This window comes from Homo sapiens, chromosome 9, assembly GCF_000001405.40.
Source record: "Homo sapiens chromosome 9, GRCh38.p14 Primary Assembly".
Classification (NCBI taxonomy): domain Eukaryota; kingdom Metazoa; phylum Chordata; class Mammalia; order Primates; family Hominidae; genus Homo; species Homo sapiens.
In genome coordinates this window covers 37,805,708-37,829,374 of record NC_000009.12, presented here as the reverse complement: position 1 = coordinate 37,829,374, position 23,667 = coordinate 37,805,708, and the positions used below count along the sequence as shown (strand labels likewise).

General features: G+C 37.5%; 1 protein-coding gene across 8 annotated transcripts in view; it reads right to left on the bottom strand.

The window, feature by feature from the left end:
- DCAF10 (DDB1 and CUL4 associated factor 10) overlaps positions 1-23,667 on the bottom strand; it is a 67,111-nt gene that overhangs the window by 38,290 nt on the left and 5,154 nt on the right. For all 8 annotated transcript variants that reach the window (NM_001286810.2, XM_047423865.1, XM_047423866.1 and 5 more), the window contains exon 2: positions 9,974-10,087. In NM_001286810.2, coding sequence (NP_001273739.1) covers positions 9,974-10,087 — 114 coding nt within the window. The remainder of the gene's footprint in view (positions 1-9,973; positions 10,088-23,667) is intronic.

Here is a 23,667-nt window from a genome sequence, read left to right as displayed (position 1 = left end):
TCCGCCTCCCGGGTTCAAGTGATTCTCCTGTCTCAGCCTCCCGAGTAGCTGGGATTACAGGCATGCACGACCATGCCCGGCTAATTTTTGTATTTTTAGTAGAGACGGGGTTTCTCCATGTTGGTCAGGCTGGTCTCGAACTCCCTACCTCAGGTGATCCACCCAAAAGTGCGGGAATTACAGGCATGAGCCACCGTGCCCGGCCTGTTCATTGTAGTTTATCTTAGGTGATTCTCTGCCTCTTTTGCTAAAGGGCTATTATCTTATATACTAATACTTTTCTGGTTATGTACATTGAAAATACCTTCTCCCACCAACTATAGCCTATCTTCTCACATTATTATGATGCGTTTGGTTACAATGAAGTTTAAAATTTTTATGCAGTTGAACTGATCAATCCTTAATGATTTATGCTTTTTGTATCTAAAAAAATCCTTTCTTACACTTAGAATACAACTATATTCTATACTTTCTCCTAAAACTTTAAAGCTTTGCTTTCATAATTAGATCTTTAATCTAACTGGAAGTTATTTTCACTTATGGTGTGAAGTAGAGATCTAATTTTATTCTATTTTTTCATATATATAGCCAAACCTCTCTTTTCCATTTCCACCCCGCACTGGTTCATAATGCCCCTGCTATCATATACAACATTTTTATAGATACACAGGTCTGTTTTTGGGATATTCCATTGTCACTTAATCTACTCCTGTTTTAAGACTACATACTATAGGCATGCACCACCATGCCTCGCTCTTGCTGTTCTATATAAGTTTTAAAATCAAGTTTTATGAAAAAGTCTGTTGGTATGTTAACTAAAACTACACTGGATTTATGGAATAATTTGGGGAGAATCAACTTCTTTATGATGCTGACTTTTTGCCTCCAGAGAAGATTTGAATTTGTTTTCCTTTTCTTTTTTCTTTTTTCTGAGAGGGGGTCTTGCTATTTTGCTCAGGCTGTCCATGAACTCCTGGGCTCAGCCTTGGCCTCCCAAGTACCTGGAACTACAGGTGTGTGCCACTGCACCTGGCAGACTTATATTTGTTTTTACAGATACATGACAGTGCTTCCAACCTGAATCCAATTGAAAATTGTTGGCTGGAGATTTTGAACTATATGGTAGTGTGAATTTGGGTCCCACACATGCACGAGTGCTGGATTGTGGTTAGATATTCACAGAGGAGGGCCAGGCACAGTGGCTCATGCCTGTAATTTCAGCACTTAGGGAGGCCGAGGTGGGAGGATCGCTTGAGGTCAGCAGCGTCAGACCAGCCTGGGCAACATAGCAAGACCCTGTCTCTACAAAAAGAAATTTTTTTTAATAGCCAGGGGTGGTGCCACACACCTATAGTCCCAGCTACTCGGGAGGCTGAAATGGGAAAATCCCTTGAGCTATGATCATGCCACTGAACTCCAGCCTGGGCAACAGAGTGGGACTCTGTCTCTAAAATAGAGGGAGACTTTCTCTAAAATAAAATAAAATAAGATATTCAGCTACTTCTGTCCCCAATGCCACAGCCTAGATGAACAGGGTGGTTTATCTCTAGATCACCTTTTTGCTGAAAGTAAGCACTTTTGGGGTCCCAGCCTTATGCAGAGTCACTTTCTACTAAATTCCTCACCTTAAACTGGTTCTAGAATTATCTCTCTTGTTCCCTTTACTTCTCATACTTGTCAAAACAGAAGCTCAAGGTCACCAGCACTTGGCAGAAGCCTCCAGGGTAAAAGCCAACTGAACACCTGTTTACTTCTTTGCATTCCTGATTCCATTTCATTTTTGGCCCATGGATTCCTGTCTTTCTTATCAGCTCAACTACATATTAGAAATATATATATATATTACATTTTATCCAGCATTTGTTTTTAATTAGAAACATTGTTCAGGATATTTTTTGTTCTTAAAAACATATTTGTTTAATGTAAATACATTAACTCTACCACCATTTTGATAACTCTGTTTTGCACCTTTTCTTTTTGTTTTTGTTTTCTACCTGCTTGTTTGCTTGCTTGTTTTTGAGACCCCCAGATGCAGAAGGTGGAGTTAATCATACTTTTATCCTATTGTAGCATATTTTCATCACCAATCTGTGCAAGGTTCCCAGGTCACTTTGTTGTCTAAGCATTTGTTTCCATTTATCCCCACCTCCAACTTTCATTTCCTCCCCTACCCATTTACGCAAGGATTTTGTTCTGATCGCATGTAGTTGCTTCTTATGTTGGTGTTCTTACAAAATAGGTATTGTGGTGGCCGGGCGCAGTGGCTCACCTCTGTAATCCCAGCACTTTGGGAGACCAAGGCAGGTGGATCACCTGAGGTCGGGAGTTCGAGACTACCCTGATTAACATGGAGAAACCCTGTCTCTACTAAAAAATACAAAATTAGCCAGGCGTGGTGGCACATGCCTGTAATCCCAGCTACTTGGGAGGCTGAGGCAGGAGAATCGCTTGAACCTGGAAGGCAGAGGTTGTGGTGAGCCGAGATCGCGCCATTGCTCTCCAGCCTGGGCAACAAGAGCACAACTCCATCTCAAAAAAAAAAAAAAAAAAAAAAGGTATTGTGGTATTTGGGTGTATGTTTTATTTGCATAAATGATAGTGTATTACATATTCTGCTTCTTACTATTTTTTCTCTCTAAAAAACTGCTAGGTTCTGAAATCTCATACATGTGGCACAGGCATTATCTAATCTGGGTTCCCATTGCCGAACATCACCCTGGTGTCATCTGCCACATTTCACCTGTGCATTCTCTCATTGATGGTGGGCACTCAGTTGGCTCCAGTGCTCTCCCACGTACATACACCACACCAAACAACCTCAAACCTGTGGGCTCTTGTGGATCCTATGAGAATGTCTCTGGACTATATACTAAGCAGCATAACTGCTGGGTCATAGCATTAGTAGCCCTAGATCCTTCCAGAAAGGCTATAGCATCCACACCCCATCAGCCATCAAGATACAGAACCCATCTATGCCAACATTTGGCTTATCCAGCTTTTAAATTTTTGCAGTCCAGTAGATGTAAAGTGCCATTTTGTTCTAATTCTCATTTGTGTGATTACTAATAACTTTAAGCTTCTCTTTACATGCATAATAGCTGTAGGGGTTTCCTTTCTATCAATTGTTTGTCCATATCCTTTGCTCATTTTTCTACTGGGGTTGCCCTCCTGATTTTTATTTGCAGGAGTCCCTTGTATATTCTGGGCATTAATCCCTTGTCAGCTTTTAACATTGAAATACCTTTTCTCATTTGTTCAGCTATGCATTAACTCTGTTCATATTGCCTTTTTTTTTTTTAAAGAAATATACCACTTTTTTAAACTTTTTTTTTTTTCTTTTAAGATGGAGTCTCGCTCTGTCGCTCAGGCTGGTGTGCAGTGACGCGATCTCGGCTCACTACAGCCGCCACCTCCTGGGTTCCAGCGATTCTCCTGCCTCAGCCTCCTGGGTAGCTGGGATTACAGGCACGCGCCACCAAGCCTGGCTATTTTTTGTTTTTTTGTTTTTTTGTATTTTTAGTAGAGATGGGGTTTCACTATGTTGGCCAGGCTGGTCTCAAACTCCTGACTTCAGGTGATCCGCCTGCCTCCGCCTCCCAAAGTGCTGGGATTACAGGCATAAGCCACTGTGCCCAGCCACTTTTTTAAATTTTTAAGTTCAGGGGTACATGTGTAGGTTTGTTATATAGCTAAACTTGTGTCATAGAGGTTTGCCGTACAGATTATTTTGTCACTCAGGTATTAAGCCTAGTACTCATTAGTTATTTAACCTGATCCTCTCCCACCTCCCACCCTCCACTCTCTGGAAGGCCCCAGCGTCTGTTGCTCCCCTCTATGTGTCCATGTGTTCTCATCATCTAGCTCCCACTTCTAAGTGAGAACATGCAGTATTTGGTTTTCTGTTCCTGCATTAATTTGCTAAAGATAATGGCCTCCAGTTTTACCCATGTTCCTGCAAAGGACATGATCTCATTCTTTTTTATGGCTGCATAGTATTCCATGGTGTATATGTACTATGTTTTCCTTATCCAGTCTGCCATTAATGGGCATTTAGGTTGATTCCATGTTTTTGCTATTGTGAATAGTGCTGCAATGAACATATGCATGCATGTGTCTTTATTCCTTTGGGTATATACCCTGTAATGGGACTGCTGGGTCGAATGGTAGTTGTTTTTAGGTCTTTGAGGAATCAACACACTATTTTCCACAATGGCTGAACTAATTTACACTCTCACCAACAGTGTATAGGTGTTCCTTTTTCTCCGTAACCTCACCAGCATCTGTATTTTTTTGACTTTTTAATAACAGCCATTTGTTCAGGATATTTTAAAATCTTCTACTGCCTAATTTTTATCTGCTTGATTTATCAGTTTTGGACACACCTGTATTAAAATATCTCACTATAATTGTAGACTTCTAATTCTTTATAATTCTGTTTTTGCTTTGTGTATTTTAAGGCTATATTTAAGGTGCATTCAAGTTCATAATTATTATATCTTCTTGGTAGACTTTTCCTTTTATTAATGTGTACTGTTTCATTTTATCTTTATTAAAGCCCTTGGTCTTTCATCTGTCTGATATTGATAATTTCTATCAGTTTTCTTTTCCCATTTCTCAGTGGTTTTATTTTTGGCATTGCTAAACATATATCAATAGAGCAACAGATAAATAATTTGGCTTTTTATTCAAATTGTTGACTCTTAACAAAGAAAATTAATCTATATTTACTTTGAACTACTCATATATTTGGAACTCTTTCTACTTCTCATTTTCTATATTCTATTTATCATCCCTTTTCTTCATTTAAATTTTTTTTTTTTACTTTTTTAAACTATCCTTTTACTGAACTGATTAAGTTTTCAATATTCTCTTTTGCCCTTCTGCTGCTTTGAGAGCTATAATGGTTTGTATTTCCATTATTTTAGTTAAATCTTTTCAGTTTTTTTCATTACATATATTTAATTATACATTTTGCTAGAAGAGTCTGAATTACTTAATATTTTTATCTTCCTCTTGAACATGAAGAGGGCCTTAACATATTATACCTTCCCACTTAACAAAACTCCCCCGTGCATACAATCTATTTGTTGTTACTATCTAGAACCACACTGTCCAATTTGGTAATGTAGCCATTACCTACATCTGCTTTTGAGTCATTGATAGGCAGGCAGTCTGAATTAAGATGTGCTCTAATGACTGGGCACGGTGCCTGATGCCTGTAATCCCAGCACATTGGGAGGCTGAAGCAGGTAGATCATTTGAGGTCAGGAGTTCGAGACCAGCCTGGCCAACGTGGTGAAACCCCATCTCTACTAAAAATACAAAAATTAGCTGAGTGTGGTGGCACATGCCTGTAATCCCAGCTACTCGGGAGGCTGAGGCACAAGAATTGCTTCAGTCCAGGAGATAGAGGTTGCAGTGAGCTGAGATCACGCCACTGCACTCCAGCCTGGGCAACATAGTGAGACTCTGTCTCAAAAAAAAAAAAAAAAAAAAAAGATGTGCTCTAAGTATAAAATACAAACTGGATTTTGAAGAAAGCATGAAAAAAATGAAAGTAAAATATCTCAATAATTTTTATATTGATTACATGTTGAAATGATAATATTTTGGACATACTGGGTTAAATAAATTATTAAAAATTAATTTTACCTCTTTTCTTTTTTAGTGTGACTACTATAAAATTAAAAATTACATATGTGATTAGCATTACATTTTTATTGGATAGTGCTAATTTAGAGTTTTAGTTTTTATTTTGTTTTACATGTACCCCCCGCCAAAAAAACTCCTAAATTCTTTTCTCTTAATAACAGTTAACATTTTACCTAATTACAATTCTTTAGTCTGGATTAACAGTTTCCCTGGACATAACATGGTATTGAACATTATTTTACCTTCATATTGAAGATATTAATATTACTCCATTTTCTCCTGATATCAACTATTGCTAATGAGAAACCTGTTTCTGTAATTATTGTACTTCTGTAGGTAATCTGGCTTCTAACTTTGGTGGCTTCTAAGATTTTCTCTTGACTTTTGGTATTCTAGAGTTTCACCACAACCTGTCTAGATGCAGATTTATCTTTATTTAAACTGCAAACACTATAAAGTTCACTTTTGATTTGATGTCTCAGGCCCTTCAGCGCTAAAAATTCTCAGCCATTGTTATCTTCAAAAATTTAGTTTTCTACCAATATTTTTCTATAACTATACACTGTAATCTCTCAATTAATCCTGTCTTTCAACTACTTTTTCATATTTTAACCTTTTTTATGTGTTCTGTGTGAATTTTAAGTGCTATATTCTAACTCATTAATTCATTTATCAATAGTGTAAAAGGTAAAGTTTATCCCATCTATTGAGTTTTTTATATACCAACTACATAATTTCTTTTTCTTTCTTTTTATAAGGATAGAGTCTTGCTCTGTCACCTAGGCTGAGAGCAGTGGTGCAATCATAGCTCACTGCTGCCTTGAACTCCTGGGCTCAAGTGATCCTCCTGCCTCAGCCTCTCAAGTTGCTGGGATTACAGGTGCAAGACACCAAGCCCAGCTTGACTTTTTTTTAGTTTTATTTTATTTTTCCATAAGTTATTGGAATACAGGTGGTATTCGGTTACATGAGTAAGTTCTTTAGTGGGAATTTGTGAGACCCTGGTGCACCCATCACCCAAGCAGTATACACTGCACCATATTTGTTGTCTTTTGTCCTTTGCCCAACCTCCCACTCTTCCCCTTAAGTCCCCAAAGTCTATTGTATCATTCTTATGCCTTTATGTCCTCATAGCTTAGGTCCCACATATCAGTGGGAACCTATGATGTTTGGTTTTCCATTCCTGAGTTACTTCACTTAAAATAATAGTCTCCAATCTCATCCAGGTCATTGCAAATGCTGTTAATTCATTCCTTTTTATGGCTGAGTAATATTCCATCATATATATATATATATATATATATATATATATATATATCACAGTTTCTTTATCCATTCATTGATTAATGGGCATTTGGGTTGGTTCCACGATTTGGCTATTGTGAATTGTGCTGCTATAAACATGCGTGTGCAAGTATCTTTTTCAAATAATGACTTCTTTTCCTCTGGGTAGATACCCAGTAGTGGAATTGCTGGATCAAATGGTAGTTCTACTTTTAGTTCTTTAAGGAATCTCCACACTGTTTTCCATAGCGGCTGTACTAGTTTACATTCCCACCAGCAGTGTAGAAGTGTTCCTGATCACCACATCCACACCAGCATCTACTGTTTTTTGATTTTTTGATTATGGCCATTCTTACAGGAGTAAGGCGGTATCGCATTATGGTTTTGATTTGCATTTCCCTGATCATTAGTGATGTTCAGCATTTTTTCATATGTTTGTTGGTCATATGAAGAATTATTCTTCTGAGAATTATCTATTCATTTCCTTAGCCCAATTTTTTAATGGGATTGATTGTTGTTTTTTTTTTACTGATTTGAGTTTGTTGTAGATTCTGGATATTAGTCCTTTGTCAGATGTATAGATTGCGAAGATTTTCTCCCACTCTGTGGGTTGTCTGTTTATTCTGCCAACTGTTCCTTTCGCCATGCCAAATCTCTTTAGTTTAATTAGGTCCCAGCTATTTATCTTTATCTTTATTGCAATTGCTTTTGGGGTTTTGGTCATGAAATCCTTGCCTAAGCCAATGTCTAGAAGGGTTTTTTTTATTATAGTTTCAGGTCTTAGGTTTAAGTCCTTAATCCATCTTGAGCTGATTTTTGTATAAAGTGAGAGATGAGAATCCAGTTACATTCTCCTACATGTGGCTAGCCAATTATCCTAGCACCATTTGTTGAAAAGGGTGTCCTTTCCCCACTTTATGTTTTTGTTTGCTTTGTCCAAGATCAGTTGGCTGTAAGTATTTGGATTTATTTCTGGGCAGCTTGACATTTTTAATTTCTAAGAGTTCTAGCTAGTTCTCTACTACATTGACTTCTTCTTGTTCAATCTCTTTTGTTTCAGTTTTTAAGCTCTCTTTAATTGGAACGTATCCCTTAATTTATTTCTCTGAGCATCCTTAAAAGTTAAAGTTAAAAGCAAAAGTTAAAGGCTTAAAAGTTTCTCCCAATCATTGGAATACCATGCAGCTATTAAAAAGAATAAGGTAATCCCATGGGTATTAATATCAAATGATCTCTAAACATGTTATTAAGTGAAAAAGGCAAGGTAAATAATAATATGTGTAAATGCTACCATTTATATAAAAATGTACATATGTGTGAGTGTGTGTGTGTGTATATATATATATATGTTTGTATATGCAACAATTATCTTAGAAAGGATAGCAAGAAATGGGTAACAGTGGTTGCCTTTGGGGAGGGAAACTGGGTGGCTAGGTGAAAGAGGTGGAGATAGACTTACTTTTCACTGTTTACCCTTTTTGTACCTTTGAATTTTGTACTACATGCATCTATTACTAGTCAAAAATAAATACATAATTTATTTTTTAAAATAAAGTCTTTGTTGAACTGCTCCATAAAATTAATTTCATCCAGAGAAATGAATGTTTTGGTGGCTGATTTTGTTATATTAATATTATATGTCTTTATAAATTTTAGAATTTGGGTTATAGGTTTCTTTTGAATAGAAAAGGTTTTTAATTTCTCTCTCTCCTCCTATTTAATGGTTTCAGAGTTGCTCCCACTTGGCCATCTGGGCCCCCAGTCCACAACTAGGCCTTATAATGACATTTCGGGGCTCCATTTTAATCATGATACTGGAAATATCATACATAGACATTCAGTTACTGACTCAGCAAGTGGCTTCATTCAATAGCTATTGATGAGGCTGTGTTTTTATCAGCTAAAACTTATAGTCTCGGGTAGTGAATAGCTCTTTTCTCTTTTCAGCCTTTCATAAATAAGACAGATATTTTAACCAAACCCCGGACTTCATGTAGTGATTCTGGCTCTGGTTCCTGCCTCGCATGAAACACTTAAGCACTTCTTAATCCTTTTACCTGACAGGAGCAAAACTACTAGCTGTCAGTGCTAGACTGAAAGCCAGCTGGTCTGTGGTTTCAGCCCCGTTTAAAACTTTGTGTCCATGTTTCATTTCTGGCCCACAAAGATGTTTATGTTGTTTCAGAACCTGGCTATACTTTTTGTACTATTTAATTTATTGTTCTATGTGTTTTGAGCATAGGAGTTACATCAAAACACCCAGTATGTTACGTTGACTAGTAATTTACCTATTTCTTTTTTTAGAAAATTAAAAGTAATAATTATAAAAGTAATATAATCTCATTACATAGAAAAAATAGAAAATTACTTATAATCCATCCATTTTAACTACTGTTAGAATTTTAAAATATTTCCTTTTAATCTTTTTCTTCTGTATCATCTATTTGTATAATTCTTATCACAATTTTACCCTGTATTATGCGAAGCATTTGTCTATGTTGCTATGTAGTCTCTATGACCATCATTTTAATGACTGAATATTAATCACCAAACTACTCAATTATAATTCACTTCCCACATTATTGAAAATTAAGGAGCTTCCAATGATGCTACAGAGAAATTGTCTGTGCATGTACTTTTTCCTCTTAACAGTCTGTATTTCTGCAGAGAGTGGTAGGGTGGAAGTGAGAGGTGCTAAGCAATGGGACTGCCATCATTCTACACAAATCATTAGCACAAAGGCATTACAGGACTAGCATAATACATGGCTGAGGTTCATAATGATGACCCTAATATATGAAAAGGTAAAATTATATAGAAGTTAGAAATGTATTTCAGAAACATTCCAATCCAACATAGCTAAGAGTAAGTTTTGTAATTAAAGGATTAGTTTTATAAGGGATTAGATTCACAATTCACAATGTGGATCATCTAGCAGTGCTGGATAAGGCATTAAACATTTTCATTTTCACTAACTTCCAAAACAGAACATTTTGGGCCACACTGATAAAGTTCACTTTTTCACTATAATACTAACCTGATATTATTTACACAGTCTTCATGAGCTTCAGAAAGTGTTTTTATGTGCTTTGAAGATATAGGGTCAAAAAGCAGAACTTCAGTTTGTTCACAAGCAACTGTCAGCACTGACCTGAAAGCAAATGACACATTTATCTTGTTTAGTTTTCTAGCATTCGCTGGTTATTGATGTTCACTTATTTATAATTACACAAGCTATAGGTAAATAACTTTTTTTTTTTGCCCATGTTAGTAGCAAATGTTTAAAAGATTGATACTATCTGTGGTTGGCAAGAGTAGTAGGAAATGGTACTCTCATACATTATCGTGGAGTATAATCTGGTACAGCTTATGTTTGCACAGCACCTCTAAAGTATCAGAATTTAAAATGGGCATATGTTTTGACTCAGCAATTTTTTCTGGGAATTTAATCTAGAGAACTAATTACTTACAAATACAAAGAGACATATAAAGATATGCTTCATTGTAAAAAGGAGAAATTCAAAGTATCTTAAATGTACATGACACAGGGAGTGATTGATTATACAAGCCATAGTACACAATACTTTGAAATACTGTAGAGAAGTTAAAAAGGGGTAGCTTTATATGAATATGAAAGAACTCCAAAACATATTTTTAAATAAAAAAGGTGGTTGCCAAAAAAATGTACATTGATGAGACAACTTACGGGAAATTCATATACAACCAAATTATATATTTCTTCATCACTGTCAATAAAATGTACTGGAAAATATCTGGCATATAACCTATCAGAGCAGTTAAACATAGTCAAACTTATCAGTCTTTTCCTTCATGGTTTTTTAGGTTTGTCTCTTGTTTCAGGCCTTCCCCACTGCAAAGTTATATTTTTATAAACCTTTTACAAACCTTGTTTTGATTTGTGAAAATCTATTGTATTTTATTTTATTTATTTTGATTAAGTATAAGTTTTTTGTGGGCCCTGCTCTTTCAGATTCATTTCATTTCTAGCAAATGAAATCCTGTGTATTTTATACAACTAAGATGAACGTACATAAGATAGAATAAATAGCCAAAAACTTTTCTATTCAGAACAAACTTTTTAGGTAAAGTGGGAGATTAAAAAACAACCATTAAGTTGAAATCTTGGCCGGGTGCGGTGGCCCACGCCTGTGATCCCAGTACTTTGGGAGACCGAGGTGGGTGGATCACAAGGTCAGGAGTTCGAGACCAGACTGGCCAACATAATGAAACCCTGTCTCTACTAAAAATTCAAAAAATGTTAGCCAGGTGTGGTGGTGGGGGCCTGTAGTCCCAGCTACTTGGGAGGCTGAGGCAGGAGAATCGCTTGAACCCAGGAGGCGGAGGTTGCAGTGAGCCAAGATCACGCTACTGCACTCCAGCATGAGTGACAGAGTAAGACTCTGTCTCAAAAAAAAAAAAGTTGAAATCTTTTCTTTATTTACTAATCATGGACTTGTCTGCATAAACCCTTTTTTAAGACATCTGGACTTCAAAGTTTAATAATATCTGAAATTTTTTATGCTAGTCATTGGGAGTAAAAATATTCAAATTAATATTTGTAATTTTTGAAGACATATAAATAGCTATTTCTTTTTGTAAGTCAGAAGAACCCTGAAATGAACTTTTTTCCCTTTTGTGCATAAGTAGTGAATCAATGATTCTGGGAGACTTTTTTTTTTGGTGGAGATGGGATCACACTATGTTGCTCAAGCTGGTCTCAAATTCCTGGCCTCAAGTGATCCTCCCACATCAGCCTCCCAAAACTCTGGGATTACAGGCATGAACCACCAGTCCCAGACTCTGGGAGATTCTTTTTTTCTGAGACGAAGTCTCGCTCTATCACCCAGGCTGAAGTGTGGTGGCGCGACCTCAGTTCACTGCAACCTCCACCTCCCTGGTTCAAGTGATTCTCCTGCCTCAGCCTCCAGAGTAACTGGGATTACAGGCACCCGCCACCACACCCCACTAATTTTTGTATTTTTAATGGAGACAGGGTTTCACCGTGTTGCCCTGGCTGGTCTCAAACCTCAAGTGATCCTCCTGCCTCAGCCTCCCAAATTGCTGGGATTATAGGTGTGAGCCACCACACAAAGCCAACCTCTGGGAGATTCTTAATCTTGAACATTGTATAAAAGGGATCTATAAAACTGTTAGTTATTGCTTTGTTTGAATCAAATTATAGTATATTTTTGTACATGGTATGATATGTATCTTTTAAAATATACATATTTTTTTAAAAGATACATATTGCTTTGTTTATTGCTGGTACACAATTTGTCCCAATATCAAGGCTGATCTTATTTACATTGGTTTATAATGCCATCTTCACTACATACAAGTTTTGTTCTTCGACTGTATATTGGTATTCTATGCAACATCACACTATCTTAATTTCTAGAAGGCTTATGATATATTTGCTATGTGGCAAAGCAAGACTCCCTCATTTGCTTTACTGACACTTTTTCTTGGCTAATACTATGCTTTCTCTTCAAGTAAATTTTATATATACCATGTCAGGTTCTGTTAAAAAATTTTGTTGAAATTTTATTGAAATGCACTGACTTTACAGATTACTTAGGTAGAATTTATATGATACAATATTGATTTACCTCATACAGTAATATGCACATTTTCCCACACATTAAAGATTTTCTTAGAGTATCTGAGTAAATCTTGGATCTTTGACCATCCTTATACAATTAGAATCAACATATCAATTTATGTATACACACACACACACACACACACACACACACACCCCAGGTGCAGATGTTAATTGAGATTATATTAAATCTATTAATACCAAAAGGTTGTGTTGTTTTTTTTTGAGACAGAGTTTTGCTCTTGTTGCCCAAGCTGGAGTGCAATGGCACAATCTCAGCTCACTGCAACCTCTGCCTCCTGGGTTCAAAAGATTTTCCTGCCTCAGCCTCCCAAGTAGCTGGGATTACAGGCATGTGCCACCATGCCCAGCTAACTTTTTGTATTTTTAGTAGAAACGGGGTTTCACCATGTTAGCCAGGCTGGTCTCTAACTCCTTACCTCAGGTGATCCACCCACCTCAGCCTCCCAAAGTGCTGGGATTACAGGCGTGAGCCATCGCGCGTGGCCCAAAAAGTTGTAATGGAACTGCTGTCTTTACAATATGGAATCTTCCAATCCATTAACATAATCTATCTCCATTTATTTAAATCTTCTGTAATTCTCTCAACAAAATTGTATAGTTTCCTCCATATGGCCCATGCCTACCTTCTGTTGAACTTATTCCTGGGCACTTGATTTTTTTTTATATTTGAATAAATGTTCTTTTAAAATTTTTGCTTATGCTGGACACAGTGGCTTATTCTTGTTATTCCAGAATTTTGGGAGACCAAGGAGGAAAGATTACTTGAGCTCAGGAGTTTGAGACCAGCCTGTGCAACACAGTGAGACCTTGTCTCTACAAAAAATTTAAAAATTAGCCAGGTATGATGGTGCACACCTGTAGTCCCAGCTATTTGGGTGGCTGAGGTGGGAGGATCAGCTGAGTCAGGGAGGTTGAGGCTGTAGTGAGCTATAATCATGCCACTGCACTCCAGCCTAGCTGACCAAGACCCTGTCTCAAAAAAAATTTTTTTGGCTTTGCTTATTGCTGGTATACAGAAATGTAACTGATTTTTAAATATTGATTATTTATCAATCGATCTTACTATTCTATTATTTGGGGTTTTTGGTTGATAATAATACCATCTAAAAATAATTGCTTTGTTCTTCCTATTTTTTTTTTTTATTGGAGACAGAGTTTTGCGCTTGTTGCCCAGGCTGGGGTGCAATGGCGTGATCTCAGCTCACTGCAACCTCCGCCTCCCGGGTTCAAGTGATTCTCCTGCCGCAGCCTCCTGGGTAGCTGGGACTGCAGGCGTGTGCCATGATGCCCAGCTAATTTTTGTATTATTAGTAGAGACAGGGTTTCACCATGTTGGCCAGGCTAGTCTCGAACTGCTGACCTCAGGTGATCCACCTGCCTCGGCCTCCCAAAGTGCTGGGATTACAGGCGTGAGCCACCATGCCCAGACTGTTCTTCTTTTTAAAAACCTGTTTCCTTCTCTTTTTGGTTGTTATACTGACTAGGACTTTCAGAACAATGTTGAATAGAAGTGTTAATAGCAGGCACTCATCTTGTTCCTGATCTTCAAGAATATATTCAACATTTCATCATTAAGTACAATGTTTGGTGTAGGTTTTTTGGGCAGATTCCTACTATTAGATTAAGGAAAGTTCTGTTTCAATTTTGCTAAGCTTTCTTTTCATGAATATATGTCAAACTGTGTAAGAGATTTTTCAGCATTTATTGAGATATTCCTATATTTTTCCTTTAATATATTAATGTAGTTATTTACATTAATTTACTTTCTAATTTCAAATCAGTCTTTTATTTTTACCTCATTGCTAGATTCAGTTGGCTAATATTTTGTTTATGATTTTTCTATCTTTATTCTTCAGCGAAATTGCATGGTAATTTTGCTTTCTTGTGCTATTCATGTCAGATTTTGGTATAAAGTGTATGCTAACATCATGGAATGAATTAAGACTGGCTCTTGTTATTTTATACACTGGAATAGTTTATATAAATTGGGATTATTTATTTCTTGTAAATTTGGTAGTGCTAGTCTATAAAACCATCTAGACCTAACTACTGATGCAGTATTATTGGTTATGATACTACTTTCTAATCTTTTACTAATGTCAGTTTTGGTAATTTCTACTTTTCTAGGAATTAGCCTATTTCATTGAACTTTAGAATTTTATTGGCATGAAGTTGTTCACAATATCCTCTGTTTCTATTTTTAAACTTTAAAGGCCAGACACAGTGGCTCTCACCTATAATTCCAGCACTTTGGGTGGCTGAGGCAGGAGGATCACTTGAGCCCAGGAATTTGAGATCAGCCTGGCAACACAGCAAGACCCTGCCTCTTAAAAAAAAAATTGAAGGCCAGGCGTGGTGGCTCACGCCTGTAACCCCAGCACTTTAGGAGGCCGAGGCGGGCGGATCACAAGGTCAGGAGTTTGAGACCAGGCTGGCCAACATGGTGAAACCCATCTCTACTAAAAATACAAAAAAAAAAAAAAAAAAAAAGCCGGCGTGGTGGCACATGCCTGTAATTCCAGCTACTTGGGAGGCTGAGGCAGGAGAATCGCTTGAACCCGGGAGGCAGAGGTTGCAGTAACCTGAGATCGTGCCATTGCACTCCAGCCTGGGTGACAGAATGAGACTCCATCTCAACAACAACAACAACAACAACAACAACAAATATATATATATATATATATATATATATATATATATATATATATATAGTGACAAATAGTTTCAAAGTGGTTCAATTGCACTCTGATCTCTATTCCTTCTTTTTACCTTCTTTGGGTATAATTTGTTGTTCTGTTTCAAAGTTCTTGAGATGGATGCTTACTTAGCTTATTGACAATTCAGCCTTTCTTCTTTTCTAATATCTGCATTTAAGGATCTAAGATTTTCCTCTATACATGGCTTCAGCTGCAATTGCACAAATTTTGATAGTGTTTTCATCATTCAGTTTCAAATATTTTATAATTTATACTGTGATTTCTTCTTTGACTCACAAGTTATTTAAAAGAGCATTTCCAAAAATAAAGAGATTTTCTAGTTATTTATTTCCTGAACTTTCATTGAAAAACAAACTGCTTAATCTCAATGCTTGGAAATTGTATGAATTTGTTTTTTGTGTTGTCTGATATTAACATAACACACCAACTTTCATTTAGCTAATGCTAGCAGTGGTATGCCTTGACATCCTTTTACTTTAAAACTTTGTGTATCCTTACATTTCAGGTATGTCTTCTGTAAGCAGTTTTTAAAAATCTGATCTGACAATCATTGTCTCAGTCAAATTACATTTAATGTAACTACTAGCAATCTTTGAGTTGAAATCTGTCACCAGAGAATTTACTTTCCATTTGTCCTGTCTGTTCTATGTCCCTTTTCAGTTGCTTTAAACATTTTTTTGGCCAGGCACATTGGCCCATGCCTGTAATCCTAGTGTTTTAGGAGTCCAAGGCAGGAGGATAGCTTGTGGCCAGGAGTTGGAGATCAGCCTGGACAACATGTGGAGACCCTATCTCTATAAAAAAATAAAATGGCCAGGCATAGTGGCTTATGGCTGCAGTCCTAGCTGCCCAGGAGACAGGCGGGAGGATTGCTTGAGCCCAGGAGTTGGAGGTTGCCGTGAGCTGTGACAGCACCAATGAACTCCAGCCTGGGCAACAGTGCAAGATCCCATCTCTAAGAATATATATACATTTGCTATTGATATCTCCCCATATGCTATTTAGTATGTTAAATATATTTTTACTCTTCTTTTAGCGAATACCTAAAGAGCTAACATCATGCATCAACTTTTTAAAGTGAAGTACGTAATTATTACTTCCTGGATGATGCAAGAACCTTAGCTCACTTCAACTTCCTTTATCCCATCCTAATATTTAATTTTTTAGATATAATTATATATAAATTTAATGCTCTACTAAAATTTTTCATGTTTTATACCATTCCCAGCCTGGACAACAAACTGAGACCCTTGTCTCTACAAAAAATAAAAAAATTAGCCAGCCATGCTGGCGTGTGCCTGTGGTCCCAGCTACACAAAAGGCAGAGGCAAGAGGATTACTTGAGCCCAGGAAGTCAAGGCTGCAGTGAGCAGTGTTCATGCCACTGCACTCCAGCTTGGATGACAGAGAGAGACTCTGTCTAAAAAAATGAAAAAAAAGTTCACATTCATTTTGATTTACACGCATATTTATTTTTGTTCTTTTCATTCTTTCCTGTACCTCTGATCTTCCACCTTTTTCCTTCCTCCTAAAGAATAATTTTGTTACCTGTTTCTGTGTAGATCTGATAGTGGCAAATTCTCTCAATATTTGTCTGGAAATATCTTTGTCTCTTGACTTCCATTGTTTCTGCAGTGAACTTAGCTCTCTTTTTGAGCCTCCTTTGAAAGTAATCTATCTCTTTCCTCTAGCTGCTTTTAAGATTTTCTTTGTCTTTGTGCATGTATGTTTTATTTTAGTTTTAGCAGCTTTACTCTTGTAGCTAAGTGTGGCTTTATATTTCTGTCTTTTTTTCTTCTTTTTTTTGTTGTTTGTTTTTGAAGAAGTTGGTAGGGATTTTTGTTTTTGTTTTTAAAGCAGTTGGAAGGTTTTTTTTTTGTTTTTGAAGCAGTTTTGTTTCAGAAGGTTTGGAGTGTGGTGGCGCTGGAATGCAGTGGCGCAATCTCAGCTCACTGCAGCCTTGACCTCCCAGATTCAAGTGATCCTCCTTCTTCAGCCTCCTGAGTAGCTGGGACCACAGGCGCATGCCACCACACCCGGCTAATTTTTTTGTAGAGTCAGGGTTTTGCCATGTTGGCCGGGCTGGTCTCAAACTCCTGAGCTCAAGAGATCCAACTACCTCAGCCTCCATAAGTGCTGGGATTACAGGGGTGCGCCACCATGCCTGGCCTGCTTTTTTTGTCTTTCTCTTGCTTGAGATGTATAGCCTTTCTTGAATCTACAATGTCTTTTGTTAATTTTTAAAATTGTCATCCATTATCTGTTCAAATATTGATTTATCTTCATTCTCTTTAATATCTTTCTGAAACTCCATTTATATTTATAAGATCTTTTCCCTGTATCTTATGACATATCTTAATCTCTATGTCCCATTTTGGTAAATCTGAACTTTATTCTGTATATTTTTTTCTCATCTATTCTCAAGCTCACAAATCCTTCAGCTGTGTCCAGTTTGCTGTTAAATCATCCAGTGAGTTTTTATCAGTTACTGTACTTTTTAGTTCTAGGGTTTTCTTTTTTTAGCTTCTAGTTCTCTGCTAAATTTCTCCATCTTATAATTCCTTGAACATATTAAATAGTTTTAATGTCAGATCTCCTGTGGGTCTATTTCTATTGTTTGCTGATTTTCTTGGTTTTTCAGACAACGAATCTCTTTGTACTAGTGCTCGTCACTGTATACAAAAATTATAGGGATAATTTAAAGCACTGGATGATATATTATATTTTTAAAAAAATTTCTTTAGAGACAGGGTCTTGCTTGGTCACCCAGGCTGAAGTGTAGTGATGTGATTATAGCTCACTGTAACCTCAAACGCCTGGGCTTAAACAATCCTCCCACCTCAGCCTCCAGAGTAGCTAGTATGGCAGGCGCACACCACCTTGCCCAGCTAATTTTTAGATTTTTTGCAGATATGGGATCTCTCACTATGTTGCTCAGACTGGTCTCCAACTCCTGGCCTCAATTAATCTTCCCTCCTCAGCCTCCCAAAGAACTTGGATTAAAGGTGTAAGCCACGGCACTCAGCTGCATATTTTCTTCTTCCATAGAAGATTCATCTTTAATTATGGCAAGTAAGCTAGAGTAGAGGTGCCGGCAATCTGAGGTCTTCTTAATCTACGTAGGGAATGAGATTATTTGAAGCTGGCCTTTAGTCCCCATGAGTACTGTCGATTCTGGATTCACCTTTAGTCCTAGGGTATACTGGGTGAGGGGAGGGGAGTTTCAATCCCAAACCTAAATTGCGGATCCTAAATTGCAATTCTTGTAATCTCATCTATCCCACCCATGAGTCCATTAGAAATACCATTCAGAGGCCAGGCGCAGTGGCTCAAGCCTGTAATCCCAGCACTTTGGGAGGCCGAGGCAGACAGATCACCTGAGGTCAGGAGGTCGAGACCAGCCTGACCAACATGGAGAAAGCCCGTTTCTACTAAAAATACAAAAATTAGCCGGGCGTGGTGGCAGGCGCCTATAATCCTAGCTAATCCAGAGACTGAGGCAGGAGAATCGCTTGAACCCGGGAGGCAGAGGTTGCAATGAGCCAAGATTGCGCCATTGCGCTCCAGCCTGGGCAACAACAGTGAATGAAACTCTGTCTCAAAAAAAAAAAGAAAGAAAGAAAGAAAGAAATACCATTCAGCCTCATTGCTGCTGCTGCTTTTGAGATTGACAGATGTCTCTCAGAGAAGCGAGCTCAAATGCTGGGCTCACATCACTGGCTTTCCTATTTTTTAGAACTTGACCCTGCAATTTCTTCATTTCCCTGATAATGCTCTAATCCCCTCACACATAAGCTTTCTATATCTTACATTAAATATTTAATATTTTCTCTAGCTTTTCTGATTATTCTCAGTTGGAAGTTTGGTCCAAACAATCTACCTCTTGCATATAAAATTGTCCCCCCAACTTTTTTTTTTTTTTAAGATGGAGTTTCGCTCTCGTTGCCCAGGCTGGAGTGCAGTGGCGCAATCTCAGCTCACTGCAACCTCCGCCTCCCAGGTTCAAGTGATTCTCCTGTCTCAGCCTCCTGAGTGGCTGGGATTACAGGCGTTTGCCACCATGCCCAGCTACTTTTTTGTATTTTTAGTAGAGATGGGGTTTCACCATGTTAGCCAGGCTGGTCTCAAACTCCTGACCTCAGGTGATCCAGCCGCCTTGGCCTCCCAAAATGCTGGGATTACAGGCGTGAGCCACCGCGCACGGCCGCCCCGCTCCCCCTAACCCTTTTATTTTTTTAATTTGAGACAGAGTTTCGCTCTTTTGCCCAGGCTGGAGTGAAGTGGCACAGTCTTGGCTCACTGCAACCTCCGCCCCTCGGGTTCAAGCGATTCTCCTGCCTCAGCCTCCGGAGTAGCCGGGATTATAGGCGCCCACCACCATGCCTGGCTAATTTTTTTATTTTGAGTAGAGTCAGGGCTTCGCCTGTTAGCCAGGCTGGTCTCGAACTCCTGACCTCAGGTGATCCACCCGCCTCGGCCTCCCAAAGTGCTAGGATTACAGGTGTGAGCCACTGTGCCGACCTATGTCCCTCTTTTTATTCTGAATATTATCTGTGCATTTTCTTAGTACCATGGATGTTTTTCATTTTTATAAGTGTTTTCAAAGACAAAACTTTGTCCCTATTCAGTATTTCTGATGGTTTTTAAAATTTCACTAATTTCTACCTTTTTTTTTTTTTTACTATATTTCCTTCTGCTCTCTTTAGATTGATTTTCCTATTATTTGCAGATAACTTTGCTATTCTCTTTCATGAGATGAATACTTAGCTCATTAATTTTCCTTATCAGTTTATTAAAGACTATAATTTTCCTACTAAGTACAGCTTTACTTGTATCCCACAAGTTTTGAGACATATGATTTCATTATCATTTAGTTCTGAACATTTCTAATTTCCATTATAATTTCCCCTTTGACCCATGAATTTATCAATTCTTTTTGAAAATGAATGAGACTTTTCTAGTTATCTTTTTTTTTTTTTTTCTTTGAGACAGAGTCTCATTCTGTCACCCAGGCTAGAATGCAGTGGCAACCTCAAACTCTGAAGCTCAAGCAGTCCTCCTGCCTCACCTTCCTGGGTAGCTAGGACCACAGGCACATGCCACCACACCAGGCTAATTTTTAAATTTTTGTAGACAGTCTTTCTTCCTTGCCCAGGCTGGTCTTGAACTCCTGCCAGATCCTCCCACCTCAGTTTTCCAAAGTGCTGGGATTACAAGTGTGACCCACTGTGCCAGGTCTCTGGTTATCTTTTTAATTATACTTGTCTCTTGACTTCCAAAAATATAAAATATATAATATATATTATATAAATATATATTTTATGTATGTATTTTTATATATTTTTATATATAAATTTTATATATAAATATAAATATATAAATATATATTTATATTTTATATTATATAATATATTTATATTTTATATTATATATTTTTATATTATATTATATAAATATATTATATTTTTATATTATATTATATAAATATATTTTATATTATATATTATGTATTATATATTTTATATATTACATATATTATATATTTATATAATATATTATATAAATATATGTTTTATATATTTATATATTATATAAATATATATTTTATATTATATATAATATACTTTTACATAATATAATATATATATTTTTCTTGAGACAGGGTCTCATTCTGTCGCCCAGGCTGTCGCCCAGGCTGGAGTGCAGTGGCGCGATTTTGGCTCACTGCAACCTCTGCTTCCGGGGTTCAAGTGATCCTCCCACCTCAGCCTCCTGAGTAGCTAGGACTATAGGCATGAGCCCCACAACTGGCTAATTTTTGTATTTTTTGTAAGGATGGTCTGGAACTCCCAGGCTCAAGTGATCCACCTGCCTCAGCCTCCCAAAGTGTTGGGATCACAGGTATGAACCACCATGCCAGCTAGTTATCTTTTTATTTACTTCTAGTGATCACATTGTGGTGAGAAACTGTATTCGGTATGATACCAATCTTTTGAAACTTGTGGTCTCATATGTGAAAATTTTATAACTGTTCCTTGTGTGTTTGAAAAATATAAGGATGAAGCGGCTGTTACATACAGTTAAGTGTGATATTCAAAGAGGTTAAAAATTCAGGCCAGGCACAGTGGTTCACACTTATAATCCCAGCTCTTTGGGAGGCTGAGGTGGGTGGATCACCTGAGGTCAGGAGTTCAAGACCAGCCTGACTAACATGGTGAAACCTCATCTCTACTAAAAATACAAAATTAGCCGAGCGTGGTGGTGCATGCCTGTAATCCCGGCTACTTGGGAGGCTGAGGCAGGAGAATTGCTTGAACCTGGGAGCTGGAGGTTGCATTCAGGCAAGATCGCGCCATTGCAGTCCAGCCTGGACAACAAGAGTGAAACTCTGTCTCAAAAAAAAAAAAAAAAAAAAAGAAAAGAAAAGAAAATTCAGTGGTAATATAAATTAACATAAATAAAATTTAAAAACATTTTCTAAATAAATTAACCTATATAGATTATAAAAATGCTCACCAGGTGATAACCATTGTAGCTCAAATTGTTCATTAAATCATTCTAGTAATTTTCAATCATTTATTAATTTTTGGAAATTGTAGCCATAATCTTTTATTTGACACAGATGCCCTTGTCTGAACCATGAATTGACATAGGAAACTAGATAAAGCCCTTCTAAGAATGTCCACATTAAATTTATAGTCATTAAATAACTTGTAGTCATGATACGTTAAAAAAAATCACACTTTTTAAAATTTTTTGTAGAGACAAGGTCTCCCTATGTTGCCCCAGCTGGTCTTGAACTCGAGCTCAAGCAATCCTCCACCTTCAGCCTCCCAAAGTGCTAGGATTATAGGCATGAGCTGCCATACCTGGCCTAAAAAAAAGAAATCACTCTTAACATCAACAGAATTGTTCATGGGAGCTGAATCCTCTTTTTGGCTTTTGCTGAAGTAACAGTAAGTATATTTTAAAATGTTTTTAGCCCTTCAAATGCTTGCTGTTAGTTTCATATAGTCAATATTTGTTTAAATATATTAATAACTAAGTCACAAAAATAATTTATTGATATACTTAATTATATTAAACCTAATCCCTCAGTCCAGGTGAGAGGTAACGTAACACAGCAGTTAACAGCATACACCAAGGTACAGAACCTTCATTTAATAAACTTTCTGCTTCTTAATTCCCCCAACTAAATGTGTCTGGTAGACAGAAAAAGATGTATTTTGGTAGTCATTTTCATTTATAACATGAGTGTCATTAATGCCTACTGTAGGCAGGTATTCATTGGGTGTTGGCACACTTATCCTATCTAAATAATGGGGAAATTAAACAAGAATGATAAAACTAAGGATGTGCATCCCAGAAGTTATTCATCCATAAACCATCCCCACAGGCCTCGATCATCTGCTGTAGATTCTATCCTGCCATGGGAATGTATACTGTGCCAAGAGAATTAATATATTTTGATGGCAACTGCGGTAGTACAGTACTATTACTCTCATTTGACTGCTCTTCTTTCTGGATCTCCCGGGGCTGTAGTTCCCAAAGGGGCCATGTGAGAGTGATATGAGAAAGGTAGGCAGCCCTACTCTTAGGGAAGCCAGATGGTCACTGGGCCTATGGATTTTTTTGTGTGTTGGAGGTTGCCAGGCACGGGTGAGGAGTAATTAGAATGGCTGCTGCCCTGTAGTTCTCCAGTGAGATGTTTGCTGACAGTCTCTTGCTGTCCTAGTTCTTAACTCTTTAGTTGCTATATAATTGGTTACTATAGGAAGTCCCAAGGAAGGCGATGAAGCATTAAGATGACACTTAACAGGCTTGGGACAGTAACTGTTCAACCACTATGGACATATCAATATTTTAACAACTAGTATAGCTGAACCAGTATCAGCTGAATAGCAGGCCTGAATGTAGTCTACGAATGCCATTAAGAGTAAGATTTTAAGAGGTACTGTTCTTTTATTTATTTTTTAATTTTATTTTATTTTTTGCAAGACAGGGTCTCTGTTGCCCAGGCTGGAGTGCAGTGGCACAATCCTGGTTCACTGCAGCCTCCACCTTCCGAGCTCAAGTGGTCCTCCTGCCTCAGCCACCTGAGTAGCTGGGACAAAGGGACACGTCACCACAACCAGCTAATTTTTGTACTTTTTGTAGAGACAGGGTCTCCTTATGTTGCCCAGGGTGGTCTCAAACTCCTGGGCTCAAGTGATCCACCTGCCTTGGCTTCCCAAAATGTTGGGATTGTAGGCGTGAGCCACTGCGCCAAGCTACTCTTTGTCTTTTAATTAGAATATTTAGTACCTTATAGTTATTGCAACTAGTAATGTTTGGATTTATTTTCAGCTATTCTTTGTGCTTTTTATT